The sequence below is a fragment of the Homo sapiens genome, chromosome 15, assembly GCF_000001405.40.
Source record: "Homo sapiens chromosome 15, GRCh38.p14 Primary Assembly".
Lineage (NCBI taxonomy): Eukaryota > Metazoa > Chordata > Mammalia > Primates > Hominidae > Homo > Homo sapiens.
The window spans coordinates 75594476-75616219 of record NC_000015.10 but is presented as its reverse complement, the minus strand read 5'-3'; the positions used below and the strand labels follow the sequence as shown (position 1 = coordinate 75616219).

General features: G+C 46.4%; 1 protein-coding gene across 3 annotated transcripts in view; it reads left to right on the top strand.

Annotated features, from left to right (window-relative positions):
- Positions 1 to 18134, top strand: part of SNUPN (snurportin 1) — a 28376-nt gene extending 10242 nt beyond the window's left edge. For all 3 annotated transcript variants that reach the window (NM_001042581.2, NM_001042588.2, NM_005701.4), the window contains exons 4-9: positions 6226 to 6330; positions 6569 to 6662; positions 8907 to 9004; positions 10993 to 11070; positions 15002 to 15082; positions 17539 to 18134. In NM_001042581.2, coding sequence (NP_001036046.1) covers positions 6226 to 6330; positions 6569 to 6662; positions 8907 to 9004; positions 10993 to 11070; positions 15002 to 15082; positions 17539 to 17862 — 780 coding nt within the window. In that variant the 3' untranslated portion in view covers positions 17863 to 18134. The remainder of the gene's footprint in view (positions 1 to 6225; positions 6331 to 6568; positions 6663 to 8906; positions 9005 to 10992; positions 11071 to 15001; positions 15083 to 17538) is intronic.
- The last annotated feature ends 3610 nt before the right edge of the window (positions 18135 to 21744 follow it).

The window sequence follows — 21744 nt, the reverse complement described above, 5'->3', positions numbered from 1 at the left end:
CTCCCAAAGTGCTGGGATTACAAGAGTGAGCCACTGCACCCGGAGAGACCCCATCTCTAAAGAAAAAAAAAAACACAATAGAATATGGTTATTGGATGCACTCCCACAGCCCCTTTCTTTACCCCAAATACAGTACAGATAACATCCTCTGTGACAAAGTACAATTCAATTTTGTTCAGTAAGCATTATTGAAAGACCTGCTCTGTGTTAAACTAGGCTATGACATGGGAAGATAGATGTGGAGCAGAAATAGCCCCTGTGCTCCTAGAATAGGTGTAGAAGATGTTTTGTGCTATAAAAAAGTGAGATGCTGGCCAGGTGCAGTGGCTCACGCCTGTAATCCCAGCACTTTGGGAGGCCAAGGCGGGTGGATCACGAGGTCAGGAGATCGAGACCATCCTGGCTAACATGGTGAAACCCCGTCTCTACTAAAAATACAAAAAAAAAATTAGCCAGGCGTGGTGGTGGCAGGCGCCTGTAGTCCCAGCTACTTGGGAGGCTGAGGCAGGAGAATGGTGTGAACCTGGGAGGCGGAGCTTGCAGTGAGCCGAGATCACACCACTGCACTCCAGCCTGGGCGACAGAGCGAGACTCCGTCTCAAAAAAAAAAAAAAAAAAAAAAAAATGAGATTCCTTCCAACCAAGGAGGAAGGAGGGGGTGTGAAATCAGAGAAGGGTTAATGAAGGAAGAGGCAGCCTTGAAGGGTAAGTAGGACATTAATAGATAGAAGTGCAGTGCATTTTAGGGCATTCCAGGCAGTGGGAACAAACAGGCTGAGCACGAGGCCCAGAAGCCAGAAAGGAGTATATGGTGTGCCCGGGAGCAGTTTGCAGGCCAGTTAGGGTAGAGTGGCATAGAGTTGGGAGAAGGAGTATGGCAGAAGAGATGTAAAGGGCCTCAAAAATATGTGCAGAGGCTGGGCACAGTGGCTCATGCCTGTAATCCCAGCACTTTGGGAGGCTAAGGCCAGGAGTTCAAGACCAGCCTGGCCAACATGGTGAAACCCCATCTATTAAAAATACAAAAATTAGCCAGGTGTGATGGGTGTCTGTAATCCCAGCTGGACAGCATAGGAAGATCCCATTTCTATAAAAAATAAAAAATAAATAAAACAAATAAAAAAGAAATGTTGCCAGATAGAATGGAAGAACTTAGCAGTGGACTGGATATGAGAGGCAGTATAAGAAGTGGGAAAGGATGTAAGCTTTGAGGTCACACAGATCTGATCTCAAAGCTAGGCTCTGTGTTGACCTTAAGCAAGGTATTTTAGCCACTCTAAGTCTTTGGTTTCTTATCTGTAAAATGGGGATAGTAATAGTACTTATCTCATAGGATTGGTAGAAGGATTAAATGAAATAATATGCCTTAAATACCTAGCCCAGAGTCTGGAAGTGCCCCACAAGTATTAGCTGCTACTACTATTTTTTAGACAGTTATATTGAGATATAATTCACATACCATACAATTTGCCTATTTTTATTGTATAGTTTAATGGTTTCTTTTTTTTTAGTGTAGTCACAAGACTGTGCAACCATCACGACTATTTAATTCTAGAACATTTTCCTTATCCCCAAAAGAAACCCCATACTAATTAGTGTCACTCTCCATTCTTCCCTGTAGCCCCTAATCATTAATCTACTTTCTGTTCCTATTTTGCACATTTCATAGAAAGGGAATCATATAATATGTGGACTTTTGTGACTGGCTTCTTTTACTTAGCATGAGGTTTCCAACGTTCATCATATTGTACCATGTATCAGTACTTCACTCCTTTTTATTGCCAAATAATATTCCACTGTATGGATAGACTACATTTTGTTTATTTATTCTTCAGTTTATGGCTATTTGAGTTGCTCCTACTTTTTGGCTATTATGAATAATGCCATTTTTATTTGTTTTTTAATTAATTTTATTTATTTACTTTTTTCGAGATGAAGTCTCACTCTCTCACCCAGGCTGGAGTACAGTGGCATGTTCTTGGCTTACTGCAACCTCCATCTCCTGAGTTTAAGTGATCTTCCTGCCTCAGCCTCCCTAGTAGCTGGGACTACAGGTGTGTGCCATCACACCCAGCTAATTTTTATATTTTTAGTAGAGACGGGAGTTTCACCATGTTGGCCAGGCTGGTCTCGAACTTGTGACCTGAGCTGATCCACCTGCCTTGGCCTCCCAATGTGCTGGGATTACAGGTGTGAGCCACTGCACCCAGCCAAATAATGCCATTATTAATATTCTTGTACTACAAGTTTTTGTGTGAGCATATGTTTTCATTTCTCTTGTGTATATACCTAGAAGTGGAATTGCTGGGTCTATATATGATAACTCTGTTTAACCTTTTGAGGAAGTGCTAGACTGTTCTCCAAAGTGACTCCACTACTTTACATTCCCACCAGCAACATATAAGTGTTCCAATTTCTCCACAGCTTTGCCAACACTTGTTATTGTCCATCCTTTTAAATATAGCCATCCTAGTGGGTGTGAAGTGGTTTCTTGTGGTTTTGATTTGTATTTCCCTATTTCCCTAGTGACTAATGATGTTAAACATCTTTTCTTTTCTTTTCTTTTTTTTTTTTTTTGAGTTGGAGTCTCCCTCTCTTGCCCAGGCTGGAGTGCAATAGCACGATCTTAGCTCACTACAACCTCTGCCTCCCAGGTTCAAGCGATTCTCCTGCCTTAGCCTCCCGAGTAGCTGGGACTACAGGCACCCGCCACCACTTCCGGCTAATTTTTGTATTTTTAGTAGAGACGGGGTTTCAGCGTATTGACCAGGCTGGTCTCGAACTCCTGATTTTGTGATCCGCCCACCTCGGCCTCCCAAAGTGCTGGGATTACAGGTGTGAGCCACTGCACCTGGCCTGATGTTAAACATCTTTTCTTGTGCGTATTGGTCATTTGTATATCTTCTTTGGAGAAATGTCTATTCAAATCCTTTGCTCTTTTTTTTTTTTTTTTTTTTTTTTGAGATGGAGTCTTGCTCTGTCGCCCAGGCTGGAGTGCAGTGACGCGATCTTGGCTCACTACAAGCTCCGCCTCCCGGGTTCACGCCATTCTCCTGCCTCAGCCTCCCGAACAGCTGGGACTACAGGTGCCCGCCACCGCGCCCGGCTAATTTTTTTTGTATTTTCAGTAGAGACGAGGTTTCACTGTGTTAGCCAGGATGGTCTCGATCTCCTGACCTCATGATCTGCCCTCCTTGTTTTTTAATTGAGTTATTTATCTTTTTATTATTGAATTATAAGAGTTTTTAATATATTCTAGATACAAGTTTCTTATCAGATACATGATTTGCACATATTTTCTTTCATTCTGTGGGTTGTCTTTTTGTCTTCTTGGTGATATTGTTGGCAGCACAGAATTTTTAAATTTTGATGTAGTCTAATTTGCCTAGATTATGCTTAAACTCTAAGATTCAGTAACGGAGTGGTGATGCCATTAACAAGGTTATGAGACGCAGAAGGGAAGGGTAGGTGTTTCAGGGGTGGGAAGTACTTAGGCAACAGAAGGCAGTTAATTCCACTCTGGATATACTGAGTTTTCGGTGCAGAGGAGACAAACAGAAAGAGATACCAAGCAGACATCTCGCAATATAGATGAGTGTGGAGGAAAGAAGTCTGGAGATGAAGGAGCATTAGGAGGCACAAGTGAAGCTATAGAAATAGATGAGATCCACCCCTAATGGGAACAGCATCTAAGAGAAAAGGGGGACCTAAAACAGCCCCCTGAAGATTACATATTTTGGGGGAGTGTGTGGAGGAATGTTTAGAGGGAAAAACAGAGTAGTGCTATGTCATGGTGCCAAGGGAACGGATGTCAGGAAGGGAGATGTGGCTGGTAGCATTACGTAAGGCGAGGAGTAGAGTGGGGAGGATAAGAAAGAGGTATGGGAGGCCAGGCACAGTGGCTCATACCTGTAATCCCAGCACTTTGGGAGGCCGAGGTGGGTGGATCACCTGAGGTCAGGAGTTCGAGACCAGCCTGGCCAAAATGGTGAAACCCTGTCTCTACTAAAAATACAAAAATGAGCCGGGCGTAGTGGCGTGTGCCTGTAGTCCCGGCTACTAGGGAGGCTAAAATGGGAGGATCGCTTGAACCCGGGAGGTGGAGGTTGCAGTGAACCGAGATTGTGCCACTGCACTTCAGCTTGGGTGACAGAGTAAGACTCCAGTTCAAAAAAAAAAAAAGGAAAAAAAGGAAGAGTTATGAGAAGAGGTCAGAGGGCCTTCAGTAGGACTGTGGGGTAGGAAATCTGGACTGTGGCTGTCAGATTGAGCAAGAAGGCAGCATCAAGAAGTATTAAGTAGTTTTTAAACTAGGAGAAAGTGGAGTAGCTCAACAGAAATGCTGAGTGACAAAAAGTTTTTTTTTGAGACGGGGTCTCGCTCTGTCGCCAGGCTGGAGTGCAGTGGTGCTATCTCGGCTCACTGCAACCTCCATCTCCCAGCTTCAAGTGATTCTCCCGCCTCAACCTCCCGAGTAGCTGGGACTACGGGTGCATGCCACCACGCCTGGCTAATTTTTGTATTTTTAGTAGAGACGGCTTGTCACCATGTTGGCCAGGATGGTCTCGATTTCTTGGCCTCATGATCTGCCCGCCACAGCCTCTCAAAGTGCTGGGATTATAGGCGTGAGCCACCGTTCCTGGCCACAAAAAGTTTTTTTTTAAAGTGAGCCGGGCGTGGTGGCTCATGCCTGTAATCCCAGCACTTTGGGGGGCCGAGGCGGGCGGATCACGAGGTCAGGAGATCGAGACCATCCTGGCTAACACGGTGAAACCCCGTCTCTACTAAAAATACAAAAAATTAGCTGGGCACAGTGGCGGGTGACTGTAGTCCCAGCTACTCGGGAGGCTGAGGCAGGAGAATGGCGTGAACCCGGGAGGCGCAGCTTGCAGTGAGCTGAGATAGCGCCACTGCACTCCAGCCTGGGCGACAGAGCGAGACTCCATCTCAAAAAAAAAAAGATTGGGAGTGAGTGCCTAAAGGGAAGGAGAAATGAAAGATTCAATGAGAGAGATTAATTGATGGGACAAAGTCTTTTTTTTTTTTTCTTTTTGAGACGAAGTCTCACTCTGTCACCAGGCTGGAGTGCAGTGGCGTGATCTTGGCTTATTGCAACCTGCGCCTCCTGGGTTCAAACGATTTTCCTGCCTCAGCCTCCTGAGTAGCTGGGATTATAGGTGCCCGCCAACACGCCCAGCTAATTTTTGTATTTTTGGTAGAGACGGGGTTTCACCATGTTGGCCAGGATGGTCTCAATCTCTTGACCTCGTGATCCGCCCGCCTTGGTCTCCCAAAGTGCTGGGACTACAGGCGTGAGCCACCTCGCCCAGCCCATGGGACAAAGTCTTTACAGATGGAAGAGACTGAGTGGAAGAGTTTGTCTTCCCAAATTAATTTCACCACATCACTGTTTTTGTTGGTTTGGTTTGGCGTTGTTTCGTTTTTTAAGACAGATTTCCTAACATCCTGTAGTATAGTATTTGGGGCATCGGTTTGAGAAATGCTGGTCTAGTCTAAGAGCATCTCAAGGTCAGGGATCTTATTCATCTCTGAGTTGTGGCAAACATAATAGTAATGATGATAGGAGCAGATGGACAAAGTAAGGAAAGGAAGAGGGTTCATCACCCTGACCCGGGAGGTGAGGCAGTAAGCATGGTGTGGTTGCAGGTGGAGATGGAGGAGAGAAGCCAAAGTTCATAGTCAGTGGCCCCCATCATCCTGTCAGCTGTGCAGGAGACACAGCCAACTCCCTAGAGCACATGGGGTGGAGGTGCCACTGTCAGCCTTTTCTGCCCTCATTCTTTTTTTTTTTTTTTTTTGAGACAGAGTTTCGCTCTTGGTGCCCAGGCTGGAGTGCAATGGCACCATCTCGGCTCACTGCAACCTCTGCCTCCCAGGTTCAAGCAATTCTCGTGGCTCAGCCTTCCTAGTAGCTGGGATTACAGGTGCCTGCCACCACACCCAGCTAATTTTTTATATTTTTTAGTAGAGACGAGATTTCACTATGTTGGCCAGGCTGGTCTTGAACTCCTGACCTCAGGTGATCCACCTGCCACAGCCTCCCAAAGTGCTGGGATTACAAGCATGAGCCCCCGTGCCCGGCTCTCTGCCCTCATTCTTTCACTCAGGTTTTTAATATACACACAGGATATTAATGCCTTGTCATTGCAGACTTTCGAGTAGCACACCCCTGCTGATCTTTAACACTATTTTTTGCATTTCCAGTTGATGCTTTCTGAGTGGTTAATTGACGTTCCTTCAGATTTGGGGCAGGAATGGATTGTGGTCGTGTGCCCTGTTGGAAAAAGAGCCCTTATCGTGGCCTCCAGGGTGAGTAGCTGCCTGCCCCCTATGCCAGTAGGCCTGGTCTGTAGTGGGAGGGATTCTTTGTGCTCCATTTTCCTCATACGCCACAACAGCTGTGCCTGGAGTGGAGCTTGAAACACTTTCCTGCAGGAAGGTTTGTTGAGAGCCATCTTTGGTCGAGTAACATTCCTGCAGAATGAGGAGGCAAGAGGGCGAGGAGACCTTGAGGTCTAATAAGAATGGTAACTTTCTCTCCATGCAGGGTTCTACCAGTGCCTACACCAAGAGTGGCTACTGTGTCAACAGGTTTTCTTCACTTCTGCCAGGAGGCAACAGGCGAAACTCAACAGCAAAAGGTACCTACATAGAGTGTCTACTTATTGATCAGTAAAAGACAGTGTAATTTGCTTTAAAGACCCACTTTGGGCCGGGCGCGGTGGCTCACGCCTGTAATCCCAGCACTTTGGGAGGCCGAGGCGGGTGGATCATGAGGTCAGGAGATCGAGACCATCCTGGCTAACAAGGTGAAACCCCGTCTCTACTAAAAATACAAAAAATTAGCCGGGTGCGGTGGTGGGCACCTGTAGTCCCAGCTACTCGGGAGGCTGAGGCAGGAGAATGGCGTGAACCCAGGAAGCGGAGCTTGCAGTGAGCCGAGATTGCACCACTGCAGTCCGCAGTCCGGCCTGGGCGACAGAGCGAGACTCCGTCTCAAAAAAAAAAAAAAAAAAAAAAAAAAGACCCACTTTGATAGCTTATCTTTGTTTTTTTTTTTTGTTTTTTGAGACAGAGTCTCACTTTGTCACCCAAGCTGGAGTGCAGTGGCACCATATTGGCTCACTGCAACTTCCGCCTCCTGGGTTCAAGTGATTCTCCTGCCTCAGCCTCCTGAGTAGCTGGGATTATAGGCTGCACCCGGCTAATTTTTGTACTTTTAGTAGAGACTGGATTTCACCATTTTGGCCAGGCTGGTCTTGAACTCCTGGCCTCAAAGTGATCCACCCACCTTGGCCTCCCAAATTGCTGGGATTACAGGCATAAGCCACTGCACCCGGCCTGAAAGCTTATCTTTGAAACTGCATGTAGACACCATCCTGGCCCCTGGACCAAGGACCTCCCCTTCAAGGTCAAGCGTCCCCAGTTGCAGAATAAATGCAGCCCCATGAGGCCTGATGGTCCGTAAATTCCTGAATTAAGGTCAACATATCTTTGGACTTCTATTACGGGACAACAGATACAGATTTGGGGGGAAACGTCTCTGAGAGAATACTAAGCATAATGGTACAGCCAGCTGATGCTGGGGCTTCCCTGCCAAACTCCCTTTTCTCCTTTCTCATTGTTGTAACCTTAGGTTCTTCCTCCCCACTGGGCCTAGCTGAGTAGACTAAGGTCGTGGGGGAGAAATAACTTACCCACAGTTATTCAGTAAGGAATTGGCAGAGCTGGGCTTGCTTTCTTCTCTACCTGCTCAGGCTCCTTTGGTGGTTCCTCATGTCCTCTGTACTGAGCCCAGACTTCTCTTTTTTATTTTTTGACACGGTCTCACTCTGTGGCCCAGGCTCGGGTTCAAGGGCATGATCACAGCTCACTGCAGCCTTTATTTCTCAGGCTCAAGTGATCCTCCCACCTCAATTTCCTGAGTAACTGAGACTACAGGAGTGTGCCACCATGCCCAGCTAATTTTTTGTATTTTTGGTAGAGATGGGGTTTTGCCATGTTGCCCAGGCTGGTCTGAAACTCCTGGGCTCAAAGCCATCTGCCTGCCTTGGCCTCCCAAAGTGCTGGGAGTATAGGTGTGAGCCACTGCACCTGGCCTTGCTCTGACTTCTCTGTTGGCGTTTAGTACCTTTCACATGCAGGCTTTGTCCCACCCATCCCATGTCTTTCCCCTACTCCTTATACCCACCTTCTGTTCAGCTGACTTATCTCCCCACATGTGCCCAGTTCATTCTGCCTCTGGGGCTTTGCTCATGCCACATCAGTACTTGGGTCTGAAATGCCCTCTCTTCTCCCCTCTGCCCTGTTGTTTAAACCCGGCTGGTCCCAGAAGACTATTTGTATGGCATCTCTCCCTTGAAGCATTTCCTGCTGCTCCAGCCTTCTCTTTCGGGAACTCCTGTTGCTCTTAGTATGAGCTCTGTAATTTAGCTCTTAGTTCTTCTGTGATCATCTTATCCCCTTAACCAAATGGTAACTTCCTTAAAGGCAGGGAATATTTATAGTTAATATTCCCCACATAACACAGTGCCTATGATAGGAACTCAAAAAGCAGTTGTAAACTAAAATGGAAGATGACTTGCTTTTAAACCTCGTTGAGGTGAGTAAATGTGCCAGTTTATCTAAAACTTCAGAATTCTCACTTTGCTTAAGGTTTGCCTTGATGCGTCTTGTGCTGTCTTACCCTGAGTCACCATGAAGCTGTAGCTGGTAGCCAGGCAGGGTTCTCTCCCCAGTGAATCCTTAGTCCTTAGTGCCAGTGACTGCTGCAAGCACTGAGGATTGTTGGACTCAAGCCTCTGGGATGGGGCTCCCTAGGTTGTGGTGGAGGGAACCTGGTTGGAAGAAGAACTCTGTGCTGACTTTCTGCTTTGTGTCCTCAGACTACACCATTCTAGATTGCATTTACAATGAGGTAAACCAGACCTACTACGTTCTGGATGTGATGTGCTGGCGGGGACACCCTTTTTATGATTGCCAGGTAGGGATGGATCCTCCTCTCGTGGCTCTTCCTGTCTTCTCCTCTCCTCCTGGGAAAGCGGCTCAGCATGTGGGTTTGGTATGTGACCAACTTCTTGGTGTGCACAGGATGTGGTATATCAAGAACATTATCTAATGCTCCCTGCATCTTTGAGTGTGTTTAAATTAGCTTAGTTTTAAAAGAGAAATAGGAGGAACTAAGAGAAACATGCAGTTCTTGAGAGGAAGAAAGAAAGAAATGGCAGGGGTGTAGGCTGGGACTTGATAGCAGCTGCACCCACCCCCTTATCTCTCTCCAGAGTATGGGAGGATTTCTGGCAGTGAAGATTGTGGGGCAAGGGGGTGGGGATGCCACCTTGTGCAGCAGCCCCAGGAAGAGAAGGTGGAATTGAATGTAAGTCACCATCTACTAGACTCCTGCAACCTCCACTCCTTCACCAACCACATCCTGACCCTGAAAATGGCAGGGCCTCCTTGGTATGACCCAGAACCTCAAATCTCAAAGGTTAGCTCTAGGAGGAGACTTTTCAAAGGAGGAGAGGCCCCAATATTCTCCCCTTCTGTTTCACCATACCCCCAACATTTTACTATTGGTGATTCTTAACAGGTAACAGCAGCAGTCATCAGGTGAGGCTGAGTGAGCCCCACCGGCCTCCATCCCTGTTAAGAACACTCTCCCCGTCATTGTCCCAGTTGTATAATGGTGGGTTTGGGGGTTTTGGTACTTCCTTTTGCTCCCTGTCAATTAGTTTATCATAGTGGTTCTCGGTGTGTAGTCTCCAGACCAGGCATATCAGAACGTTGTAGAAATGGGCCTGAGGCTGATGTGTGAACAGGCCTCCAGTGATCTTCATGCAGGCTGTCACCATAGGCTGCTTCTTTCTAAGCCATTCCCGCATACTAGGTTTCCAAAACACACTAGGTATTGGTACTCAGAATTCTAAGGTGCATCTCATTCAAACAATAACAATCAAGATGTGCATTGCTAAGCACTTTCTGCATTAGCTCATTAAATCCCTTACAACACGTCCTTATTGTAAGGTAAGTACTATTATCATCCTTTTTTTTCTTTGAGACGGAGTCTCGCTCTGTTGCCCAGGTTGGAGTGCAGTGCTGCGATCTGGGCTCACTGCAACCTCCGCATCCTGGGTTCAAGCACTTCTCCTGCCTCCGCCTTCTGAGTAGCTGGGATTACAGGCGCTTGCCACCACACCCAGCTAATTTTTGTATTTTTAGTAGAGACGGCGTTTCACCATGTTGGCCAGGCTGTCTTGAACTCCTGACCTCAAGTGATCCACCCACTTTGGCCTACCGAAGTGCTGGGCATGAACGACTGCACCTGGCCTGTCCTTGACATATAGATATGGAAGCTGAGATGCTAAGAAGCACAGGTCTTAAGTACCTTGCCCACGTGTAGAACCAAGCCTACAACTCAGAACATAAATTCAATCTAGAACATATTTTCCTTTAATTCTGCTGAAGGATATTTTATTACATGTATTCACAACCTACAAATTTGGTAACTAAAACCAAATATATTTTTATAACGTAAACAAAAGACTGTATGTATCTTTTTAAATTTCCAAAAGCAAAATAATTTAAAAGAATGAAGAGGCCCGGTGGGCGCAGTGGCTCACACCTGTAATCCCAGCACTTTGGGAGGCTCGAGGTGGAGAGATCAAGAGGTCAGGAGATGGAGACCACTCTGGCCAACATGGTGAAACCCTGTCTCTACCAAAAATACAAAAATTAGCCTGGTGTGGCAGTGGGCGCCTGTAGTCCCAGCTACTTGGGAGGCAGGAGAATCGCTTGAACTTGGGAGGCGGAGGTTACAGTGAGCCGAGACTGTACCATTGCACTCCAGCCTGGGTGACAGAGCAACACTCCATCTCAAAAAAAAAAAAAAAAAAATAGCATGGGGTGTTTTTGTTTATATTAGAGTTTGAAATGGAAAGTATTTCATCTTTCTGTTTCCCTTCTCTGTGGCAGACTGATTTCCGATTCTACTGGATGCATTCAAAGTTACCAGAAGAAGAAGGACTGGGAGAGAAAACCAAGCTTAATCCTGTAAGGCCTGGTGTTAGGATCACTGAGTTCCTTATGGGGAGTAGTGTGGATTGGTCTGTTATCTAAATATAATCATTATGTATGAAATGATCTTTTTTGAGGCAGCATGGTATAAAGGGAAGAGTATCAATCATGTAGATCTGAATTCCATTTTTGGCTTTTATTATTACTAATTTAACATCCTATGTTCTCACTCATAATTGGGAGCTAAGCTATGAGGATATAAAGGCATAAGAATGACACAATGGACTTTGGGAACTCTGGGGAAGGGTAAGGGGGATGAGGGATAATTGGGTGCAGTGTACGCTGCTTGGGTGGTGGGTGCACCAAATCTCAGAAATCACCACAAAAGAACTTATTCATGTAACCAAACACTACCTCTTCCCCAAAAACCTATTGAAGTAATAATAACTAAAAAAAGACTAAAAAAAATTTATTACTAAGTTAAGTTAATAATCTCACTTACCCTTAGATTTTCCATCTGAAAAATAGGGTAATAACATCTAATTTACAGGGTTGTTATAAGAACCAAATTATATAAATATGCAAGTCCTCCTAACATAATACTCATGGTAGGCACTCAATAATAATCAGTGATTTAAATATGTGACAGCTATTTTCAGGGCATTTTATTAGCCCTGCAGATTGGCATTTGCTTGGATTGCTCACAAAAAATGTTAAAGCCAAGGGCCAGGCGCCGTGGCTCACGCCTGTAATCCCAGCACTTTGGGAGGCCGAGGCAGGTGGATCATTTGAGGTCAGGAATTCGAGACCAGCCTGACCAACATGGCAAAACCCTGTCTCTACTAAATACAAAAACAATTAGCCAAGTGTAGTGGTGCACGCCTGTAATCCCAGCTACTTGGGAGGCTGAGGCAGGAGAACCACTTGAACCTGGGAGGCGGAGGTTGCAGTGAGCCAAGATTGTGCCACTGTACTCCAGCCTGGGCAACAGAGCGAGACTCTGTCACAAAAAAAAAAAAAAAAAAAAAGTTAAAGGGAATTGGACAACCAGTTATAGGAGAATAAATATGATCAGTACTTTCAGTGATGTTATTATCATGTAGGTCCTGGAGGAACATGCATTGAGGAAGGGGAAGACTGCTCTCTCTAAGACACTGGTTTAAGTGCTCTATGTATATTATCTCACTGAATCCACACAGTAACCCTACGAAGTAGATATGTGCTGTTGTTATCCCATTTTACAGATGGGAAGATGAAAGTATATGGAGGTTAAATGATTGGCAGAATGGGATTCAAACCCAAGCAATCTGACTTTAGAGTTTGTAGTTCTAATCACTTAGTTATGCTGCTTCAGTCTAAAAATCCTTGCAGGTGTGAAAAGGATTTCACTAGCCCTTTATTAGTGGTAGCTGTCATGGGGCCAAGAGAATAACACACAACCACTCAACCTAGTACAATACAGTGGTTCCCACTCCTGACTGTATGTTAAAATCAGCTGGAGAGCTTTTTTTTTTTTTTTTTTTTTGAGACAGAGTCTCGCTCCGTCACCCAGGCTGGAGTGCAGTGGCGTGATCTCGGCTCACTGCAAGCTCCGCCTCCCAGGTTCACAGCATTCTCCTGCCTCAGCCTCCTGAGTAGCTGGGACTATAGGCGCCCACCACCACGACCGGCTAATTTTTTGTATTTTTAGTAGAGACGGGGTTTCACTGTGTTAGCAAGGATGGTGTCGATCTCCTGACCTTGTGATCTGCCTGCCTCAGCCTCCCAAAGTGCTGGGATTACAGGCGTGATCCACTGCACCCGGCCCAGTGAAGAGCTTTAAAAAAAATACCTGGGCCAGGCCGAGTGCGGTAGCTCACGCCTGTAATCCCAGCACTTTGGGAGGCCGAGACAGGCGAATCACGAGGTCAGGAGATCGAGACCATCCTGGCTAACACAGTGAAACCCCGTCTCTACTAAAAATACAAAAAATTAGCCGGTCGTGGTGGTGGGCGCCTATAGTCCCAGCTACTTGAGAGGCTGAGCAGGAGAATGCTGTGAACCCAGGAGGCCGAGCTTGCAGTTAGCCGAGATCGTGCCACTGCACTCCAGCCTGGGTGAGGGAGCGAGACTTTGTCTCAAAAAAAAAAAATACCTGGGCCAGGCACAGTGACTCACATCTGTAATCCCAGCACTTTGGGTGGCCAAGGCAGGTGGACTGCCTGAGCTCAGTAGTTCGGAGCAGCCTGGGCAACATGGCAAAACCCCATCTCTACAAAAGAAATACAAACAAAAAAATTAGCCAGGTATGGTGATGTGTGCCTATAATCCCATCACTTTGGGAGGCTGAGGTAGGTGGATTGTTTGAGCCCAGGAGTTTGAGACCAGCCTGGGCAACACAGCAGAACCCCATCTCTACAAAAAAATACAAAAACAGATTAGGCATGGTGGCGTGCACCTATAGTTCCAGCTACTTGAGAGGCTGAGGTGGGAGGATCACTTGAGCCCAAGAGGTTGAGGCTGCAGTGAGCTGTGATTGTGCCACTGCACTCCAGCCTGGGTGAAAGAGCGCAACTCTGTCTCAAAAAAAACAACAAAAAACCTGGATCCCACCCCAGACCAGTTCAGTCAGAATCTCAGAGTAGGGCCTGTGCATCAGTAATATTTTTTTTTTTTTTTTTGAGACCGAGTCTTGCTCTGTTGCTCAGGCTAGAGTGCAGTGGCACAATCTCAGCTCACTGCAACCTCCGCCTCCCAGGTTCAAGCGATTCTTCTGCCTCAGCCTCCCAAGTAGCTGGGACTACTGGCATGTACCACCATGCCTGGCTAATTTTTGTATTTTTAGTAGAGACGGGGTTTCGCCATATTGGTCAGACTGGTCTCGAACTCCTGACCTCGTGATCCGCCCTTCTCGGCCTCCCAAAGTGCTGGGATTACAGGCGTGAGCCACCACACCTGGCCAGCATCAGTAATTTATTTTTATTTATTTTTTATTTTTAGAGACGGAGTCTCGCTCTGTCACCCAGGTTGGAGTGCAGTGGCACAATCTCGGCCCACTGCAAGCTCCGCCTCCCGGGTTCATGTCATTTTCCTGCTTCAGCCTCCTGAGTATCAGTAATTTTTAAAAGCTCCCTAGATGATTCTTGTGGATAAAAGAAGGTTGGGGCTGGGTACAGTGGCTCATGCCTATAATCCCAGCATACTGGGAAACTGAGGTGGGAGAATCCCTTGAGCCCAGGAATTTGAGGATGCAGTGAGCTGTGATTGTGCCACTGCTCTCTAGCATGGGTGACAGAATGAGATCTCATCTCTTAAAAAAAAGGGGGAGGAAAGATTGGGAACCACGACCTAGTAGTTAAGAGAGTAAGTAGAGGGGAATTAGTAGAGAAGGATGAGACTGAAAACTTTTCTTCTTTGTTTTTTTGTTTTGGCTTGGTTTAGTTTGGTTTGGTTTGGTTTTTGAGACAGGGTCTGGCTCTGTCACTCAGGCTGGGGTGCAGTGGCACAATCTGAGCTTACTGCAGCCTTGACCTCAGGCTCAAGCGATCCTTCTACCTCAGCAGCCTCCCAAGTAGCTGGGACTACAAGTTTTTCTTCTTTGACAGAGATTTTCTTTTCTTTTTGCTTTTTTTGAGAGGGAGTCTTGCTCTGTCACCCAGTCTGGAGTGCAGTGGCATGATCATGGCTCACTGCAACCTCCCCTTCCTGGGTTCAAGCTATTTTCCTCCCTCAACCTCCCAAGTAGCTTGGACTACAGGCACATGCCACTATGCCTGGCTAATTTTTGTATTTTTAGTACAGACGGGGTTTCACCATGTTGGCCAGGCTTGTCTTGATTTCTTGACCTCAGGTGATCCTCCTGACTTTGCCTCCCAAAGTGCTGGGATTACAGGTGTGAGCCACTATGCCTGGCCTGACAGAGATTTTCAATTGCTTGGGCCAGTATCATTTATAACGTACTAATTCCTTGTTCTAATTTCTATTTCAGTTTAAATTTGTGGGGCTAAAGAACTTCCCTTGCACTCCCGAAAGCCTGTGTGATGTGCTATCTATGGATTTCCCTTTTGAGGTAACGAAACCATTGTCTTTATTGCCTTGACATGATGATAGGCTGCAGAGAGACTTAGTTACACAAAGTCTTAAAATATTCCTTGATTGTGCTGTGTCAAAGCATCAGAATGGGACAAAGCTGATTCTGGAGAAAGGATGTACTTGCTGCCCTTCAGAGCCTGAGCTCCACCCATGCTGGATAAGTCAGAATGCTGGCACTGGAAGGGCCCTTAATGGACAGCTCGTCCAACTCCCTCATCTTACAGATGGAGAAACTGAGGTCCGGAGAAACTGAGGCCCAGATAGGAGCAAGACTTGCATGCCTAGATCCTTCTTGTGTGCCTCTTCCTACTGCAAGCTGAGACCCAGGTCCCTGGTTTGGCTGTCGTGGCTGCTTGTAAAGTGAAGGTGCTTCTGTGACTGAATGACTCCAACAAATGTCCAAATCCCTAATCCTTTCCTCACCAAAGAAGATGGCCCTTGGGGACAGCAGCACTTGCTGAGCAGGAGCATGAGTCAGGTGACCACCTCATTCCAGTTTGCTCAGGACTCGCCCTGTTTTAGCACTGAAAGTCTCACAGCGGCTGGGCATGGTGGCTCACGCCTATAATCCCAGCACTTGGGAAGGCCGAGGCCGGTGGATCACTTGAGGTCAGGAGTTCAAGACCAGCCTGGCCAACATGGCAAAACCTCGTTTCTACTAAAAATACAAAAATTAGCTGGGCGTATTGGCAGATGCCTGTAATCCCAGCTACTCGGGAGGCTGAGGCAGGAGAATCACTTGAACTTGGGAGGCAGAGGTTGCAGTGAGCCGAGATTGAGCCACTGCACTCCAGCCTGGGCAACAGCACAAGACTCTGTCTCAAAAAAAAAAAACAAAAAACAAACCTCACAGCCCCAGAGGCTCCCCAGTCCTCAACAGTCTTGTCAGCCTCAGAACCTGCAGCTACCTTCTCTAGGCTCAACAAGCACATTTTCCTTTGCCCATCATTCCCTTAAAAATTCTGCCTTGGCCGGGCACAGTGGCTCACACCTGTAATCCCAGCACTTTGGGAGGTCGAGGCAGTTGGATCACCTGAGGTCAGGAGTTCAAGACCAGCCTCGCCAACATGGTGAAACCCCGGCTCTACTAACAATACAAAAATTAGCCAGGCATGGTGGCACACGCCTGTAGTCCCAGCTACTTGGGAAGTTGAGGCAGGAGAATCTCTTGAACCCGGGAGGCGGAGGTTGCACTGAGCTGAGATCGCACCACCGCACTCCACTGCAGCCTGGGCAACGAGCGAAACTCCATCTCAGAAAGAAAAAAAAAAAAAAAAATCTGCCCAGTCACTGCAAGCATTTGCTTGAACTGGATGTAATTTTATATAAGGATCACAGCTTCCCAAATAAGGAAATGGCAAAGGCTGAGTTGCCAGCATTTCTGGGAGTCAATTAAGAAGGTGGTAAGAATACCATCTTTATTTATAACCCTTATGCCCCAGTGACAATAAATGCTTTTTAGAGATGAGTCACTGAATCATAGAAAATAAAATGTGGGACTGTAGGAGGTCTTCCCGTTGAGAAAAACTGTTTCCCAGAACATGGCTCACAAACAATTTAGGGGGAGGTTTAGGCAACCAACAGTAGCCAGGGAAGCAGGGCATCTGGACAGCCTGTTTCCACTGTGTGCAGCAATCTGCTGCCCCGGAGGGGCCTGTCCAGTTCCTCTGCTTTTCATTCCATGCACAGAGCTCATCCACCACAACACAGACCCCTAAGTGGTGGAAAGTCCGTGGAATCTGGGGACAGAAGACCAGAGTTCAAGTTGAAGTCCTGCTTCCTACTCACTGTGTGTTTTAAGGAGGTCCTCAGAACTCCCTGAGTATGAGCAGCCCCATCTCTCAGACACCGTCATGGGTAAGATAGTAAAATAGTGGGCAGGAAAGCACTCTGTAAACAGGAAAGTGCTATTTATGTTTATCCTTTCCTTTTTTTTTTTCTTTTTTTGAGACAGAGTCTCACTCTGTCGCCAGGCTGGAGTGCAGTGGTGCAGTCTCAGCTCACTGCATCCTCTGCCTACTGGGTTCAAGCGGTTGTCGTGTCTCAGACACCCGAGTAGCTGGGATTACAGGCATGTGCCACACATGCCTGGCTATTTTTTTGAATTTTTAGTAGAAATGGAGTCTTACCATGTTGCCCAGGCTGGTCTCAAACTCCTGAGCTCAAGCAATCTGCCTGCCTCAGCCTCCAAAGTGCTGGAATTATAAGCATGAGCCACCACGCCCAGCCAATGTTTTTATTTTCTCAAATTTAGTTTTCTAGGCCATTTCTTTATTTAGAGAAACGGCATGTGTGAGAAGCTGGGACTCTTTCCTCTGTCAGTGACCCAGAAAAAGGAGTCGGACCACAAGAGCTGCCCTTGTGTGTATAGGCTCTCCTGGAAACATGTGGCCCCAGAAGTCATTTGATCCTCAATTTCCCCTTGTCTTATAGGTAGATGGACTTCTCTTCTACCACAAACAGACCCACTACAGCCCCGGAAGCACTCCCTTGGTGGGCTGGCTGCGCCCCTACATGGTGTCAGATGTCCTTGGTGTAGCTGTGCCGGCTGGCCCGCTGACCACCAAGCCAGACTATGCTGGGCACCAGCTCCAGCAGATTATGGAGCACAAGAAGAGCCAGAAGGAAGGCATGAAGGAGAAACTCACACACAAGGCCTCTGAGAATGGGCACTATGAATTGGAGCACCTGTCTACTCCCAAGTTGAAGGGTTCTTCCCATAGCCCAGACCACCCTGGATGCCTCATGGAGAATTAAAGAGAGAAGCCTCCTTAAGGAGCCACAGGATGGTACCTGGCCCCAAAAGGAATCCTGGAGAGGAGGACAGTGACAACAGGTGACTTCATTCTTTAGAGTGAACTTTCCAAACCCAGTCCAGCTGGAAACAGCTTATCTATAATCTGAAATGCTGGCTCAAACAGTTATGGGGAGGTTCCCAGATTGCGTAGCATTCAGATTGATTTGAGCAGCTCCTACTGTGATAAGTGTATCCCAGATCCACAATGTAAATATATGTGATTTGTAAGAAAGAACTGGTTTGTGGTTCTTAAGCTTTAGATAGCCATGAATCTCCCCTTCCCATCTCAGTCCCCTGGGCTACTTCAACCATGGCTGTTCAAGTCTTGGCCCATTTCACTCTTTTTAGTACTCAAAGATTCTGCTGAGTTTCCAGTTGCTGCTGCCGCCGAAAGGTTTTACCAGGAACTGCAATTCTGGGTATTTGAATATGTTCCCTCTTCTGAGAAGACAAGTGTGATTTTCTTTGGTTTAGACATTGCCAGAGATAAAATGCAAATGTAGTTCATTCACTCCTTCAGCAAACATTTGTGCCTACCAGGAGATAAGCTTGTCCTAGGCCCCTGCCAAGTAGAGGGGTTATGGAGGTGGACAGTACTTAGTCCCTGCCCTTGAGGAGCTCACACTCCTGTGAGAAAAGAAGCCCACCAGGACAGTTTGGGAGAAGAGGCTGGAGAGAGATAGCAGGTTTTAGATTTTGTGTCATGGATGAAAGGAGCTAAGAAAGAACTTTGAGCAGGCAAGGTCTCTTGAGATTTGTGAACTGGAGGTCTTTGGCAGCTGTGAGAATGGAAGATTGTGTTGGAAACTGACTAATTAGTTTCTGCTTTGTATTCAGGAAATGGATCCCACTTCCTGTGGCTTCAGTCAGCTCCCATATTGCTTCCCATCTTTCTAGGACTCTGTCATGGATACAAGTACTTCACCATTCCCTCCAGCAGCACTAGTGTCCTGTGGACAGATTTTCACAGGGATCCAGGTCAGCTCTTGTCTGACATGCAGTGGTCCCTGCATGTTGATTAGTTCTGGGAACAGATTTGGGCAGAGGTAGTAGTTATTTGGAGCCTGATTATACAACTTCAGTACATCCAGTGGAACTAGTCTTAGTGTCGGCTCTTAGAGAGTTGCTCAAGCTGACCTTGTAAAATTGGAAGACTCCCCGCTCCCACCCTCATCCATTGATGATCCTGCTGGCTGCAGATTCAAGCATTTGCCTACATCAATAAGCTCTTTCCTGAATTTAGGTCAATTCTGTAATAGGAACATTGTGTTCCTCTTGCCAAGGAGCATGTTTTAAGTGCCTAAACATTTAGTCTCTGTTTGATAATTTTCTGAGTGCTCTAGTCTGTGCTATCAGCAGCCAACCATATCAGTTCAGAAGCTATGCATGCTAGTGTCAATAGTGACTTGGCCATACTCTGTTCAGAAATAATCAGGTCTGGAAGGACTACTTCCCCAAAGGGCGCACACAGGCACTACAGGCACACACACTCTGGGGACAGCTGCATGAATCAAAGGATATATCAGCCAAAATTATCAACAATCACAACTTGATTTTTTTTTTTTTATTTTGGGATAGAGTCTTGCTGTGTTGCCCAGGCTGGAGTGCAGTGGCACAGTCTCGGCTCACTGCAACCTCCGCCTCCCCAGTTCAGACGATTCTCCTGCCTCACCCTCCTGAGTAGCTGGGATTACAGGGGTGAGCCACTGCGCCCAGAGACTATAACAGCTTTCAATGAGGTCTGTGAGTCCTTGTGGCGAATTATATAACCAGAGGGTAGTCTTAGGGTTCCCCAAACTTGCAACTGGTATCCAAAGTAACGGTAGTCTGTGGACTATTCCCTGAGTTTGGGAAATATATATGTAAATACATAAGTGTGATAAAATATTATAATCACTGTGAGAGCTGGCTGTATGGATGGGGAGGGCACAAAGAATGGCTACTCTACCTGCAGAGGAAAATGTTCAAACAGGTGTCTTTTGAATGGAGTCCTTCAAAGACGAATAGGTATATCCACCAGGTGAATGAAGTCAGAGTGAGCGGGGATGGTGTAGGGGAAAAGTATGAAACAGATGCATTTATACACAGAACTGTAAAACAGCATCACTGAAAAGTAGGCAGCAAAGGAGGCAAGGTAATTTATGAGGCTGGAGAGATATACTAAGGTCAGGTCATGAATGAACTTGCATGGCAGGATGAGAAGCTTCACATGTATCTTGCAGTCAATGGTACATCCTTGAAGTAACATGATCAAACCTATATTTTTAGAAAGGATCACTCTGCTATGGCAGGGATGGATTCAAAGGGGAAAAGACTAGTGGCAGGGAAACTAGGTAGGAGGATCTGGCAGTACCCTATGAGAGAGATGATGAAGGCCTGAATTAAGGTTGTAGAGGAAATGAAGAGAGAGGTGGGAATTAAAGGACATGGTGACTCACTAGCTGTGAAATATAAGAAATGGAATCATCATTGTGATGATTCCTAGATTCCTAATATGGGTGACTGAGTGCCACTAACAAGGACAAGGATCCCAGGAAAAGCACAGTTGAGGGGGATTGAGGAGGAAAGGTATTGAGTTCAGTTTGGGACATGCTGAGTATTAAGGTGACTGGAGATGAATGGCAAGTAGATAGATACAGGTCTGGAGGTATCAGCACATAGATGGCAGCTGAAGTCAGGTAAGAAAAAGCTGGGGAAATGTCCCTCAGATTTGGAAAACAGGAGACCAGTAGTCCTTTGAGAGGACTTGAAGTGGCAGGAACAGAAGTCAGGTTTCAGTAGGTTTAGACATTAATGAGAAATGACCAAGTGGAGAAATAGCAAATGTGGATAAATCACTGCCAAACACAAGTGGATTAGGGTGACACAAACTCTTCCAGTGCAGCCACTGGAACTCAGCATGACTTTTCTCAGACTGTAGGCCGGGCGCGGTGGCTCACGCCTGTAATCCCAGCACTTTGGGAGACCAAGGCGGGAGGAGCACAAGGTCAGGAGATCAAGAGCATCTTGGTTAACATGGTGAAACCCCGTCTCTACTAAAAATACAAAAAATTAGCTGAGTGTGGTGGCACACGCCTGTAGTCCCAGCTACTCAGGAGGCTAAGGCAGGAGAATCGCTTGAACCCAGGAGACAGAGGTTGCAGTGAGCCGAGATCACGCCATTGCACTCCAGCCTGGGCGACAGAGTGAGACTCAGTCTAAAAAAAATAAAAATAAAAAATAAAAAAAAAAAAAGATTGTAAATACATAGGTGTGGTAAAATCACTGTGAGAGCTGGCAGTTTTTGTAACAACAAAAAAAGACAGAGAGAGTGAGAGAAATACGACCAGGGGACACACTGCTATTCAGTGATCAATAGATAATACTGGCTTCTTAGTTAAAAATGTAAGGGGCACTCTGAGATAGGTCCTTCAAGCTACCATTAAAAAATATCAAGTTGTGCTTGTTGATTATTTTGGCTGATATATCCTTTGATTCAATAAGACTGCTTATTCTGGATCTACTGGTTGAAAACCCTGGTCTTTTCTAGGTGCATGGGTTCCAGCAGTACTTGAGATAAAATAGGTGATCTCAAATAGTGGTTCTTTGCTAACTCATGCCAAGCTGGCCCTCCTGCCAAGGCAAGCAAGGTAGGCCATGGCAATAGTATCAGTTAGGGACCGTGTGATGGCTCACGTCTGTAATCCCACACTCTAGGAAGCCAAGATGGGTGGATCACTTGAGCCCAGGAGTTCAAGACCAGCCCGGGCTACATGGCGAAACCCCGTCTCTACAAAAAATACAAAAATAGCCAGGCGTGCTGGCTGTAGTCCCAGCTACTTGGGAGCTGAGGTGGGAGGAGA